The 15,147-nt window shown below is 40.7% G+C and overlaps 1 protein-coding gene, 2 non-coding genes and 1 pseudogene across 21 annotated transcripts in view; 3 read left to right on the forward strand and 1 right to left on the reverse strand.

Moving 5' to 3' along the window:
- Window positions 1–15,147, forward strand: part of PATJ (PATJ crumbs cell polarity complex component) — a 421,436-nt gene that overhangs the window by 327,166 nt on the left and 79,123 nt on the right. For 11 of the 19 annotated variants that reach the window (XM_011540462.4, XM_011540467.4, XM_011540464.4 and 8 more), the window contains 3 exons: window positions 3,376–3,450; window positions 9,805–9,922; window positions 14,870–15,003. In XM_011540462.4, the coding sequence (XP_011538764.1) occupies window positions 3,376–3,450; window positions 9,805–9,922; window positions 14,870–15,003 (327 nt within the window). The remainder of the gene's footprint in view (window positions 1–3,375; window positions 3,451–9,804; window positions 9,923–14,869; window positions 15,004–15,147) is intronic. The other 8 variants (XM_011540465.4, XM_047424283.1, XM_024448614.2 and 5 more) reach the window with 1 other exon arrangement.
- On the forward strand, window positions 2,803–3,096 carry RN7SL180P (RNA, 7SL, cytoplasmic 180, pseudogene; annotated as a pseudogene).
- Window positions 9,141–9,214, forward strand: MIR3116-1 (microRNA 3116-1). Its single transcript, NR_036058.1, has one exon. It is a non-coding gene; the product is annotated as a microRNA 3116-1 (primary transcript).
- On the reverse strand, window positions 9,144–9,211 carry MIR3116-2 (microRNA 3116-2). Its single transcript, NR_036059.1, has one exon. It is a non-coding gene; the product is annotated as a microRNA 3116-2 (primary transcript).

Genomic DNA, 15,147 nt, shown 5'->3' on the forward strand with positions numbered 1-15,147 from the left:
GGAAACTGACACTTCAGGCTCCTGCTACCCACCACACACCTTCACGCATCTACCATTCAGTTGTATTCATTTCTATGATTATTTCTTTAACATCTGTCTCACTAGGTCTGTAAATGTGCTCAGGGCAAGGGCTCCTCTGTTTTTCTTTTTGTTTGTGCTGGCATGTAGTAGGTGCTCAGTAAGCATGTATTGAATTCAACTTTGCTCACAACCCCTTATTCAGGTAGCAGTTATTGCATTCTTAATAAAAAAATGAAGGTTTCCAAACACTATTACTGCTAGTAAGTAGCAGAACAAGTCTGAACCCAGATTATCTGGCTGTTATTCCAGTGCCATTTCTTTTTTCTAAAAAGTTCAAATGATAAGGAAGAATAAAACCAAATTAGTACTTCTTCCATGTGATGTGCAAATTGGATTTTTAAACCTGTAGTTTGGGAAGTCAGGTCCTTTGTCCCACTGCTGGTTAATTGGGGTTGAAACCAAGGTCGAATTGCAGATCTACAATATCATTTTCAAACAGAGGCACTTACTTTTGCTCCTCCTAAGGCCATTTGATACACACTGGTAGGAGTAACACCAATAGTTTCTGTTTACGAGGCAGGTTAGAGTTTTTCCTCTAAAAATTCCCATGAGCCTTATTGACCTTTTCACGTCTTTTTTCTCTCTTTTCAAGTGTGATCCTTTAAAGTAAAGGCCACAGAGTCATCTTCACTGTGTGACCTTCCTTTCATGGCTGGTTCTCAAATCCACGTGGGTGCATTTAAGATTTAAGTTCCCGAACTTTGATTCACTCAGCACTAACACTTTATAAAGCCCATATTCTATTCTGCCATATGTTGAAGAAAGAAATAAGACAAAGTCGATCATATTAAGATATGGGAGACACATACATAAAAAGATACAATATAATCTTGCAAATAAGTGATAAAATTCATTGGTTCATCTTGTGGAAGGGGCACCACCCAGGGGCTAAGGGAAGAATTACAAGAGGAGGTAATTTTTTTAGTTCATTTTATATCATATCATCTGTTTAGAAGCAAAATTTATAAAGGGCAGGGGAGCAGTCCTAGGATCTTTCTCATAGAAGGGGAAAATTAAAGAGAATCTGAATGAGTGAGATAAGTCTGGCCCCCCAAAAATCAGTTAGAAAGTAGGCAGCTAAGTGTAGGCATGGTCATCCAGGAGACCTAGGCTCCAGTCTCAGGATAGTGCTTACTGGGGTTAAATCTTTCAGGTTGTAAACCAATGGGGAATTAAGGACATAGGATGAGATTGTAACTGAATCTAATAACAATGAACAGCTGGGCATAACTTGGTCACTATCTATTGTATTGTTATACATCGAATGGGAGCCTGGTGAAGAAAGGCTGTGTGAACATGCCTAGGAAAGAGACCCGAGGCAGGGGATGTCAGATTCAATTAAAAGCAAAAAACAAACAAACAAAAACCAGTTACAGAAAATACTGTGAGATACAAAGGTAAGTTAGTCTTACTTACTCTAAAAATTGCCTCCAGCATTTCCTACAGGAGAAAAGTGTCCTTTCTAGGTCGCTTCCAAGACTCTTAGCACCGTGGTTATGGGTGCATGTTCTGGGCTCTGCACTAGTCCCCTGTAGTGCATTTAGGAACATGGGGCTACCATAGCCCAATTCCATTTACTATCATCATTAGCATCTTTAGTAAATATTATTAATTGCCAGGTGTGTTGCTAAGGGTGCTCATGTATTACTTCATTTAATCTTTTCAGCATCCTGAAATTATAGCTACTTTTATTTTTTTCCATTTTATGGATGGGGAAATTAAGGCTTGAAGAGGGCAAATAACCTGTTCAGGTTTGTAGATCACTTTTTTTTTTTTTTTTTTTTGAGACAGAATCTTGCTCTGTCACCCAGGCTGGAGTGCAGTGGTGCAATCTCAGCTCACTGCAACCTCCGCCTCCCCAGGTAAAAGCAATTCTTCTGCCTCAGACTCCCGAGTAACTGGGATTACAGGCACCCAGCTAATTTTTGTATTTTTAGTACAGACGGGGTTTTGCCATATTGGCCAGGCTGGTCTCGAACTCCTGACCTCAGGTGATCCACCGCCCCCACCTTGGCCTCCCAAAGTGCTGGGATTACAGGCGTGAACCACTGCGCCCGGCCAGGTTTGCAGAACTCTTAAGTTGAAGAGCTAGGATCACAGACTCCTAACATTCCATTCATTATACAAGTTATCCCTACCTTCCAGATCAGCTTACCTACCTGCTGTCTGTGTACTACACCTCACCACCTGGGTGTCTCTCAGACGTTACCAAGAGACAGAGTAAACCCATGCTTTCTCCTATCCAAACCAGTCTCTCCTGTTCCCTGCTTTGTCCAAACCCAGTTGCAGGAATTTATGCCTTAAAGTAAACCATCGTATGATAATTTCCCCTGAAAATGTGCCTATTAAAAAAAAAATAGGATATGATGGGAGGCAGACATAAACATTCTGGTCAATTTATTGGTGTTATTATTTATTTCAGTTAATAAACTGCCCTTTCGCTATGCTTCACTTTCCACGTGTTTAGGCAGTTTGGATTCTCCCAAGTCTGGATTCTGCACTCCTCCGTGGGGTTTAGAGCTAACTTACCTTTATCCCCCAGTATTTTCTGTAGCCGTGGTTTTTTTTGTTTTTGTTTTTTTGTTTTTTAATTCTAATTGAATGTCTTAAGGGGAAAAAACTCTAGTTCAGGATTTGAGCCCTGAACAGATAGTTTTATAGGGATATTAGTGTAACGAAAAAGAAAAAACTCTGGCTGGAATGACCATCAAAGGATATCTGGCCGAGTGTGTTGTTGCTCGTGTAGTCCCAGCTACTCAGGAGGCTGAGACAGGAGGATCACTTGAGCCCAGAAGTTTGACGCTATAACGAGCTCTGCCAATTGGGTGTCCACACTAAGTTCGGTATCGATATGGTGACCTCCTGGGAGGAGGGACCACCAAGATGCCTAAAAAGGGGTGAACCAGCCCAGGTCAGAAACAGAGCAGGTGAAAACCCCTGTGCTGATTAGCAGTGAGATCATGCCTGTGAAGAACACACTGCGCTCCAGCAGCAACATAAAAAGACCCTGTCTTTTATTTAAAAAAAAAAAAAAAAAAGAAGAAAAAGAAAAAGAAAAGAAATCTGATAGGTCTAAGGCCTCACAGATCTGAAAGGGCTGAAAAAACATTTGGAAATGACAAGGCTGTGTTCATTTCTAAGAGTTAGTCCAGTGGGTGAATGAAACTTTTTTGCCCAGTGTTTTGGTCATTTTTGTAGTAGACTGAAGCCCAATTAAATGTACTAACTGCTGAAATTGGAAAGTGCGGTTGAGCCCTCCAATGCTGCTAATTGGTTGTGTCTTTTACATTTCAGGAAGACATGTCCCAGGTGATTGGTCAGGGCATGGTGGCAGATCAGCAGAAGGCACTGGAATACCCACCTGACAATGTACATAACTTGTACTTTAGGTTTTGCTCTTCTGGGGTTGCGTGCGTTATAGACCGGGTTCCAAAAGAAAAGGAGGTGATTGCAATGAGATCAGATCTTTTATTACTTGACAGGAGGTTGTGGAGTGTCATGCAACCTGAAATCAAGCCACAACTGTATCATTGATTCTGTGCAAGTTGATGCAAATATCTTGTGTTCACCTCTCTGTCCCAACCCCCTAAACAGATGCTTAAAAGGGCATCCCTGGCTGGGCATGGTGGCTCATGCTTGTAATCCCACCACTTTGGGAGGCCAAGGCAGGCAGATTGCTTGAGGTCAGGAGTTCCAGACCAGACTGGCCAACATAGCAAGTCTGCTAAAAATACAAAAATCTCTTCCAAAAATACAAAAATTAGCCAGATGTGGTGCATGCCTGTAGTCTCAGCTACTCAGGAGGCTGAGGCCTGAGAATCACTTGAACCTGGGAGGCAGAGGTTACAATGAGCCAAGATTGCACCACTGCGCTCCAGCCTGGGTGACAGAGTGAGACGCTGTCTTTAAATAAATAAATAAATAAATAAATAATAAAAGGGTATCCCTGAAAACACCCTTGCACTTAAATAAATTCTATCTAGCCAGGCACAGTGGTGCATACCTGTAGTCCCAGCTACTCAGGTAGCTGAGGCAGAAGGCTTGCTTGAGCCCAGGAATTCCAGACCAGCCTAAGCGATATACTGAGACTCCATCTCCAAAAAAATTTCTGAGAGCACCATGTCTTACACAATATTAGAAATAAAAATTACAAATGGAAGAATTTCTATAAAATAACTTCAGTGTTCCTTACATTTGAATTTCACTTCTCTTAAAGAACTATAAACTTTTATCACATTTTTATACTTTTGTTGCTGTTGAGCTTTTTCCTTGCTTTTTTTAACTCCAGATTTTCATATCTGTGTACTAATCTATGTTTTTATGTGTCTAAAATGTATACATTATTACTGTGTTAGCTATTTTTATATTTAAGAAACTATAGATTACTAGAGTTTACAGGAAATATATATTTCAAACATTGCCAAAGAAAATGCCTTTGAAAATTCTGTAAAATTATATGCTGAAAACCCAAATTAAAAAAAATAGTGGGGGGAGGGGGGAGGGATAGCATTAGGAGATATACCTAATGCTAAATGACAAGTTAATGGGTGCAGCACACCAACATGGCACATGTATACATATGTAACAAACCTGCACGTTGTGCACATGTACCCTAAAACTTAAAGTATAATAATAATAAAATTAAAAAAAAAATAGATACAGAATGAACCTTAAAAATAACCAAATTCAGTTCAACTGAAAACCTTTAAGCAATTTTTTTTTTAAGAGTCAGGGTCTTACTCTGTTACCCAGGCTGGAGTACAGTAGTGCAATCATAGCTCACTCTAACCTCAAACTCCTGGGCTCAAGCAGTCCTCGCACCTCAGCCTCCCAAAATGTTGGGATTATAGTTGTGAGCTACTGCATCTGGCCAATTATAATTTTTAAATTTAAAAGCAGGTTTTGCTTGAATGTGTTTGCAAATACATTAAGGTATTAATACTTTATATACTCCCGGCTGGGCACAGTGGCTCATGCCTGTAATCCCAGCACTTTGGGAGGCTGAAACGGGTGGATCACCTGAGGTCAGGAGTTCGAGACCAGCCTGGCCAACATGGCAAAACCTCATCTCTACTAAAAATACCAAAATTAGCCAGGCGTGGTGGCAGCTGCCTGTAATCCCATCTACTCAGGAGGCTGAGGCAGGAGAATCACTTGAACCCAGGAGGCGGAGGTTGCAGTGAGCTGAGATCACAGCACTGCACTCCAGCCTGGATGACAGACCAGGGCTCTGTCTCAAAAACAAACACACAAACAAAACTTCATATACTCCCACCTACCTCAAGCACATATCAAACATCTCTAAAATATTACAACCATAGAATTTTAGAGCTAGGGCGAATCCTAAATATCATCTTACATTCTTCTTCTTGCAGAACAATGAGCACCTAAACATCTAAATTATTCTCCTTTGGGAAAGTGATTTTAAGTCCTTTCTGCAGCTTCCAAAGAGAAATGGCCCAGAGGTCAGTGGGCATCATCTGCAGTGAGGCTGGCAGCTCATTATACAGAACTTTTCCACCCTTTGAGCTGCTCCAAAATGGAATGAGCTTCTTCATGGAAGTGGAATTTTCCATCCCTGAAGGTTTTCAATCAGAAGCTGGCTGATCATTTATTGATATGTTCTAAAAGGACATAAAAGCATTAATAGCTGTTATTAATTGAGCCTAAATTATTTCTGGCACAATGATGGGTTTATTTATTTACCTTTAATTTTTACAACAACCTTGCAAGATATAGATGTATCACCAATTTATAGATGGGGCGGTCAAGTGACTTGTCTGTGGTCACACAGCTAATTAGTGATAGCAAACTTAGCAACATATACCTTCTTTTGAGTAGTGATGTTTATTTTCCTTTCATGAGGGCCTGATGAAGTGTAAATCCTTTCTCTAGAAAAACACTGACAAGGGCCGGGCGCAGTGGCTCACGCCTGTAATCCCAGCACTTTGGGAGGCCGAGATGGGTGGATCACAAGGTCAGGAGATCTAGACCATTCTCACTAACACGGTGAAACCCCGTCTCTACTAAAAATACAAAAAATTAGCCAGGCGTGGTGGTGGGTGCCTGTAGTCCCAGCTACTCGGGAGGCTGAGGCAGGAGAATGATGTGAACCCGAGAGGCAGAGCTTGCAGTGACCAGAGATCGCGCCACTGCACTCCAGCCTGGGCAACAGAGCGAGACTCCGTCTCAAAAAAAAAAAAAAAGAAAAGAAAAACACTGACAAGTACAATTTTGATACAACTACAAGGGTGTTTTACAACTAAACCAGTGGTTCTTAACCCTGTTTTATAATAGGAACACCTAGAGAGCTTTAAAAAAAATCACGAATGCTAGGACCCCCATCCCAGACCAAATAAACTGGCATCTAGGGATGTGGATCCCAGGCAAGTTTTGTTTTGTTTTGTTTTGTTTTTGAGACATCGTTTAAAGTTAAACCATGGATTCTTAAGCCAGGGCTTCTTAAAAGAAGATTAAGTCTTAATCAATAAGTCTCAATTAAAAACAAAAACAAAAAACAAAAAAAACCTGCCTGGGACCCACACCCCTAGATGCTAATTTATTTTGCCTGCGATGGGGATCCTAGCATCTGTAATTTTTAAAAGCTCCGTAGGTGTTCCTATTATGAAACAGGGTTGAAAACCACAGGTTTAGTTAGGTTGGATGACCTATAAAGTCCATCTCAGTTCTTATAATACAGTAACATACAACAGCAAATCCATTCTTTCTGATCTTTCTTACACAGTAGTTTGGTTTTGTGCCAATGAATGAGTCATGGGAACACTCCTTCATCCATCACCACACATACCGACAACTGGAGGCCAGCCTCTATGTATATATGTTTGGACATTTCACTTGGATTCTATGGACTGCTTCCTTATTGTTAAATTGAATTCAATTCCACCAGTATCTATCAGGGACCTATTATGCACCAGATGCTACATGAAACTGGGATATAAAGAAAAGCAACAATCATCTCATGCTATAGAAAAGTCGTAATTTAGTAATCTAGATTGCTCTCTTTAGTGCTTTCTTATTTTAAAAGTCGCGTGATTTTTCATAAAAGAACTCTGCGGCTTGCACCCAGCTTTGTTGGGAATCCATGTTCTTTCTTGAGGTGATATAAAATGTAAGTTGGAGGTAAGTACTGTGTGAGTTAAGACACAGGCTCAATTGCTGCAAGAAGTTCTCTTTAGCATAAGAGTCTGTGTGTGGCTGTGTGTGGTCAGTTGGGGAATGATATGGTGTCTCCAAAGTGTCAGAGACCCAAGCACCTCTTATCTGATTACTATACCATTCTTATTTGATTACTCTACCACCCTCAAATGGTGGCATCCATTCTTTAGTTTAAGAGGGCTGCTTCAGTTATTACCAACACATCTGTATTCCAAGCAGTGAGAAGGGAAAGACAGGATCTTTCTCCTTAGGAGAATGACCTAAAAATTGTACATTCACTTCTGTTTACATCCCATTGACCAGGACTTAGCCTGTTGGCACACCTACCTTCAATGAGGCTAGTAAATGTGGTCCTTAGAATAATTGGATATCTAAGTCCTCTCAATGTTGTTTTCTTATAGTAACCCCTTATTTGTCCTTTTCTACTTTCTTCCTTTAAAAATCACTGATAAATATGTAATTGAAAAAGTCTCTTTTTAGTCAATATTAAATGATGCTGATAGTGGCGGGGCACAGTGGCTCATGCCTGTAATCCCAGCACTCTGAGATGCTGAGGTGGGTGGATTGCTTGAGTCCAGGAGTTCGAGACCAGCCTGGGCAACATAGCAAAACTCCATCTTTACTAAAAATACAAAAAATTAGCCAGGCGTGGTGGTGTGCGCCTGTAATCCCAGGTATTCAGGAGGCTGAGGTGGGAGAATCACCTGAGCCCAGGACATCAAGGCTTCAGTGAGCCGAGATCACACAACTATTACAGCCTAGGTGACAGAGTGAGACCCTGTCCAAAAAAAAAAAAAAAAGAAGATGGTGATAGAAAAACTGCAGGAAAAAACAAAAAAACTCCATAGAATCATTGCCTATCAGCTGTTTGATAAACACTTTAAGCTTGTAGCATTCTTCAACTATTGACTTCCGGTTCTACCTCTTTCTCTAATTAGCAGTGTGATTTCAAATATGTCACTTGACATTTATGCTTGGTTTTCTGCAAAAAGAAAAAAAGTAATATTTAACTGTCGGGGTTGTTCATGTGATTGAATGAATTTATGGATGTAAAAGTGTTTTGAAAACTAGAAAGCACAGTGCATATGCACAATGGATGGTATTGTTTTGTTGTTACTGCACACTGCACAATGCCCTGTATTGAGGCACAGCTTTCCACTGACAGAATCTTGAGGTGTTACAGTTCTGGAGCAGTTACCTTGGTCCTATTTCTAGACTCCAGGGGCAACCTGGTGCTTCACTACCAGACTCTTCCAGCTGGGGATGGGTTCCCTGGCCAACTGCAGATCCAGAAGGCAGGTCAGGTTACTACCTATATTTCTTAACTGCCTGTTAAATAAGCAAGGAGTCCTTTTGGTTTTTCTTAGTGTATGTATGTATGTATGTATTTATTTTTGGAGACGGAGTTTCATTCTTGTTGCCCAGGCTGGAGTGCAATGGCACGGTCTCAGCTCACTGCAACCTCTGCCTCCTGGGTTCAAGCAATTCTCCTGCCTCAGCCTCCCAAGTAGCTGGGATTACAGGCATGCATCACCACGCCTGGCTAATTTTTGTATTTTTTTCAGTAGAGATGGGGTTTCACCATGTTAGCCAGGCTGGTCTCGAACTCCTGATGTCAGGTGATCTGCCCATCTCAGCCTCCCAAAGTGCTGGGTTTACAGGCGTGAGCCACCATGCCTGGCCCCTTAGTTTTTTAATATTAATATTCATTGGAGGTACTGTCAGCAAAAATCCAGAATTACAAGTTAATTTTTCCCAAACTCACACAGTAGAGGTCCCTGTACCTTCACTGAATTGCAAGTTCACTTTCTACCCTGAGTTACTCATGTCTTCAGTTTTGCTTTTCTTTGTTCTTTCTTTCTTGTTCATTCATTCATCAAGCACTTTATTGAGTCCCTACTATGTTCCAGGCACTGGGTATCGTAGGTGCCTGGAACATAGTAGGGACTCAATAAAGGAGCTATGCTTCCTTTATGTGAATTAAATGTCACTGATGTAGCTGGCATTTAGTAGGCTTTCAGTAGGTGTTGGTTTTCTTTGTCTGCCCCTCATTTTGCTTAATTAACCTACCAAATGCATCTTTGACTCTAGTGTGTCCAGAAGAAATGGACAGTGTTGATGCTCTAAACATCCCCAGCGTAGATTGTTTTTCAATGTGCACAACACAGATAAGTCACTTCAAAGTCCATAGATAAAGGGGCTTCTTGCTGATTTCATCAGAATGAGTAGAAATTGCAAGATAATTTTTGTTTTGCCTCCCACCCCCAGCTTCATGTACAGATCACACTGACAGAGTATCTTCAGCTTTTATCTTTCCTCCCTTCCTTGATCTGCCCTTCATCAAAGCATTTTAGTTGTAAAGTTAAATAGGGAAGAATGAGGAACGAGGCATAAATCATCCTAACTTCTTGCCACCCTCCAACCTTATATTCTCAAAAGACATCATTGGACTGCACCATTGTTTTGGTAACAATACACCAGTTTTAAAGTATTTTCTTGTTACCTTTCTCCTTTTTGATATTCATCTAATTTTCCTTTCTTTTGTAGGCTGTCAGCCAGATGAAACAGCAAAAATATCCAACAAAAGTCTCCTTCAGTTCACAAGAGATACCATTAGCACCAGCTTCATCATACCATTCAACAGATGCAGACTTCACAGGCTATGGTATGATTCTTTCTCTCAGCAGATCTGGCTCATTAAGCCTTAGAGAAGGCAAGGGATCATAATGTCCTAAAACGAGAACTGGACCAGGAGGCAGAAGTCTGACTCTGGATACTTCCTCCGCTTCCTTAGCTTTGGGGCTTGGATAGGTCACTTCATTTCCTACATCATTTTTCCTCCTCTCTGCCATCGCCATTGCCTGTTGCTTTTTGAATATAAGAGCACTAGAACAGAACAGGACCTCAGTAGGTCAGGAGTTCAAGACCAGCCTGGCCAACATGGTGAAACCCTGTCTCTACTAAAAATACGAAAAATTAGCCAGGCATGGTGGCGCATGCCTGTAATCCCAGCTACTCGGGAGGCTGAGGCAGGAGAATCGCCTGAACCCAGGAGGCAGAAGTTGCAGTAAGCTGAGATTGCACCACTGCACTCCAGCCTGGGTGACAGAGTGAGACTCTGTCTCAAAAAAAAAAAAAAGGAAAAGAAAAGGACCTCAGTAAATGTTATTTGAATCTGAGGCTTCTGTATTATTCTTCTCTAATCTCTACAAAAGATTATATTTAGGTCTTGAGTAATATCTCTTTAAAAATCCTATCAAACCCAATTTTTAGCCCTGCAAATGTTGCTTTAAGCTGTTTGAAGAATGTTGATTTTCAATGCTTAAAGAAATTGGCATGCACATTCTGTCTTTAAATTCCTGGCTTGAATTATGCTGACTGGGGGTTGAAAATAGAACTTTATAAAGAATAATAGGTATTTCTACTTGCTTTTTTTTCTTTTTTTTTGAGACAGAGTCTCATTCTGTCACCCAGGCTGGAGGGCAGGGGGCTGATCTCAGCTCACTGCAACCTCTGCCTCCTGGGTTCAAGTGATTCTCCTGCCTCGGCCTCCTGAGTAGCTGGGATTACAGGTGCTCACCACCATGCCCGGCTAATTTTTACATTTTTAGTAGAGATGGGGTTTCACCATGTTGGCCAGGCTGGTCTCAAACTCTTGACCTCAAGTGATCTGCCTGCCTCGGCCTCCAAAAGTGCTGGGATTACAGACGTGAGCCACTGTGCCCAGCCCTACTTTGCTTTTGTGCAGTATACATCAGTAAAAAATAAAACTCTTTAAAAGACAGTACTCACCAATGGCAAAGCATAACCCTGCATTAATTTAGCAGTTCTGAAATCTTTGTGGTATTTGCCTTTTATATATTTTTTCATAAATATTAACTTCATAAAGTTCATCAAGCAGGTACTATTTTAAAGCATTGTAGATGTACTAAAACATTTGATGCATGTGGTCAGAAAACTATGGCGCATGGGTCAAATCTGGCCTACCAGCTAGTTGTGTATGGTCTACAAGCTAAAAAAGGTGTTCACTTTTTAAAGGTTGAAAAAACACCTAAGAAAATTTTATTAAAATATTCTATGAAATTCATATTTCAGTGTCCACAAATACAGGTTTATAGACACTCATTTGTTTCTGTATTGTCAGTGGCTTTTTTCACACTATAATGATGGAGTTAAGTAGTCACAACAGAGACAGTCTGGCCTGTAATGCCCTATTAAAATATGTATACTTGGCACTTTACCAACAATGCATGCTGACTATGGAGGTAGACAAGTTGAGTTTTGGTAATATATATCACATATTTATACTTAGATGACAGAAATTCAGCATCCTTCCTGGTTTTCATTCTCATGGTTAAATAATAAATAAACAAATAAATAAATAAATGAAGTTCATCATCCTACAGTTGAATCTATAGAAATTTTATTCATTTACTCATCTACTTACCAAGCATTTATTGAGGACTTGGTATGAGCTGGGTTTGGGGCTGGATTCCATGAGAGAAGTAAATAAAAAGATTGACTCAGGACTGGCTAGGGTGAGGCAAACGTGGAGGAGGGAAAAGAAATGCCATCTCCAGGATGTCTCACCAGGTTTTTTTCTCTCTTCTCACTCAGGAGACTACGCTAGTCATTTACAAAGGCAGTATAAACTTTTTATTTACTTATCTATTTATTTATTTGAGATGGAGTTTTGCTCTTGTTGCCCAGGCTGGAGTGCAATGGTGTGATCTCGGCTCACTGCAACCTCTGCCTCCTGGGTTCAAGTGATTCTCCTGCCTTAGCCTTCCTAGTAGTTGGGATTACAGGCATGTGCCACCATGCCTGGCTAATTTTGTATTTTTAGTAGAGACAGGGTTTCACCATGTTGGTCAGGCTGGTATCAAACTCCTGAACTCAGGTGATCCGCCCACCTCAGCCTCCCAAAGTGCTGAGGTTACAGGCGTGAGCCACCGCACCCGACCTAAAAGCAATAGAAACTTTTTAAAGCACCCATGAAAGTGTGCCACTATCGTACGTCATTTTTATTGTAAATTAATGGGAAATGTGGTATAAAATACATATGCTGCAAAAAGATTTAAAGACAAATTTGGTTTACAATTTAATATTCTGCCTTGCCTGTATCTTACCTAGAGCCTTTCTTTTTGTCTTATTGGCAAGATTTTTCTATAAAGAAGTCGATAGTAAATATTTTAGGCTGTGGTCCACACAGCCTCTGTTGTAGTTTCTCACCCCTGCCATTGTAGTGTGCTAGCCACCATAGGCTGGCCATAGGCTACTTCTAAATATGGCACTTTTTATGGTTGTATCACTGAATTTCTTGCTGTTAACCAGGAGGCCTTTAGATTAATAAATTCCATATGGATGGGAACAAGATATGTGAATACCCACAATGTGCCAGACTCTGGGCCGGGCACCTCACACACACTGTTCATTTAGTTTCTCTAACAGCCTCTTTAATAGTGGTTACATGCATTTTTCTGATGAGAAGTGAGCTCCACTTTCACCCTCCTGTTAAATTCCTGCTTAGGAACTCAACTGTGGCTCTGTGCCACTCCAAAACCTGTGCCTTTTCATCTCAAAGACCATGATTATCACTTAGTTAGAGCAGAACCCCCACAGGCTTACCTAGAGCCTGTTTCTTTTTGTTTTATACCAGAGATTGACAAGCTTTTTCTATAAAGAAGTAGATTGTAAATATTTTAGGCTTATGGGCCACACAACCGCTATTGCAGTTACTCACCCCTGCCATTGTAGTATGCTAGCAGCCATAGGCTAGGCATAAATGAATTAGTGGGTTTGTGTTCCAATACGACTTTATTTATAGACACTGAGATTTAGACTCATATCATTTTCACATGCTTTGAGACATTATTTTTCTTTTGATTTTTTTTCAAGCTTTTGAAAGTGAAAAGCCATTCTTGATCCGCGAGCTATAGTCCGCTGACCCCTGCTTTTACATAGGTTTAATGAGCACTGGGATCTCATCTCAGCTCTGTGCATTAGCTGCAGCTGACCAGCAGATGGAGCCCTCTCTCATCAGCCCTTTCCTGAATTATATCATAATGTAAGAAACAATACTCATGGTGATCAAACTCAGTTATCAGAAAATATGACATTCTCTGGAGACTATGATTTGTATGAGCATCTCTTGAAGCTATTCAACATTTTATATGAGCATCTCTTGAAACTATTCAACATTTTGAATGTTTTGAGGTTTCGTTGTTGTTGTTGCCATTTTGAGACGGAGTTTCACTCTTCTTGGCCAGGCTAGAGTGCAATGGCGCGATCTCAGCTCACTGCAACCTCTGCCTCGGGCTCAAGCGATTCTCCTGCCTTAGTCTCCTGAGTAGCTGGGATTACAGGCATGAACCACGCCCAGCTATTTTTTATATTTTTAGTAGAGACGAGGTTTCACTATGTTGACCAGGCTGGTCTCGAACTCCTGACCTCAGGTGATCCTCCCACCTCAGGTGATCAGCCTCACAAAGTGCTGGGATTACAGGCGTGAACCACCGTGCCCGGCTGAATGTTTTGAGTTTTTAATAGGTTATCTGGAAAATGCATGTGTGTAGATTTTATGCTGGATAAACAGGTGTTAGTAAACATTTTTTCTTAGCCTATAAACATTTTTTCCCTCACTCTTTGGAAAAACCCAACCTAAAACAATTGTTTTTAAAAATAAACCTTTGTAAAAAAGCAATAACTTTTAAATAAACTTTTCCTCTATGAACCCCGCAAGTAATTTTTGAGTCTTGTGTTTATAATATATTTTGCTTTACTATATATGTAATATATTTGGGGATAAATTTTAGGTAATTGTTATTTTCAGGTATTTCATACTTTATTGATTAAATTCTTTATACATCTTAATAATTTAATTCATCTGATATGCTCTAATTGAAAGTATTTAGGCATTGTTTCTTAATTAGTATCCTATAGCTCAGAATCTCCTGTTATACCAGCCTTTATTCTCATTGTAACATAGGCCTTCATATACCTAATCATTTAATCATTGTAATTTTTCCATACAGATTTTCATGATGTATTTTAAGATTTTAAAACTTTTAGCCAGGTGCAGTGGCTCACACCTATAGTCCTAGCACTTTGGGAGGCCAAGGCGGGCGGATCACCTGAGGCCAGGAGTCCGAGACCAGCCTGGCCAGCATGGCAAAACCTCGTCTCTACTAAAAATAAAAAAATTAGCCAGGCATGGTGGTGGGTGCCTGTAATCCCAGCTACTTGGGAAGCTGAGGCAGGAGAATTGCTTGAACCCAGGAGGTGGAGGTTGCAGTGAGCTGAGATCGTACCATTGCATTCCAGCCTGGGCGACAGAGTAAGACTCTGTCTCAAAAATATAAATAAATAAAATAAGATTTAAAACTTTCAAGTAAAATTGATGGGTTGAGGGGTGGGAGTTATCGTTTTAATCTCAGCAGTGTCATCCCTGGCTGAAGAGGCAGGAATGACCCAGCTTTTTGCTTCATGGTGTTTGGCAGGAAAAGAGTGCAGTGATAAACACATGCAAGCCCCACACTCCCCACGTGATGGAACGTGCAGGCTGAGCTGCAGCTCTTACATGCCAGTCATGCTGTGTTCAATTCTTTTCCAGGTGGTTTCCAGGCTCCTCTGTCAGTGGACCCCGCAACGTGTCCCATTGTCCCTGGACAGGAAATGATTATAGAAATATCCAAGGGACGTTCAGGGCTTGGTCTCAGCATTGTGGGAGGAAAAGACACACCCTTGGTAAGTTTCTAGAAATAAAATGTATCCACTGTCATAGAACTAGTTGTTGAGGTTAATTTTGGCCCTGCGCCACAACTCTGCAAGACTTGCCTTTTTCATAGTATGAGGAGAAAATGTGATTATAAATAGATGTGCATCCATAGT

Source organism: Homo sapiens, chromosome 1 (genome assembly GCF_000001405.40).
Source record: "Homo sapiens chromosome 1, GRCh38.p14 Primary Assembly".
NCBI lineage: Eukaryota > Metazoa > Chordata > Mammalia > Primates > Hominidae > Homo > Homo sapiens.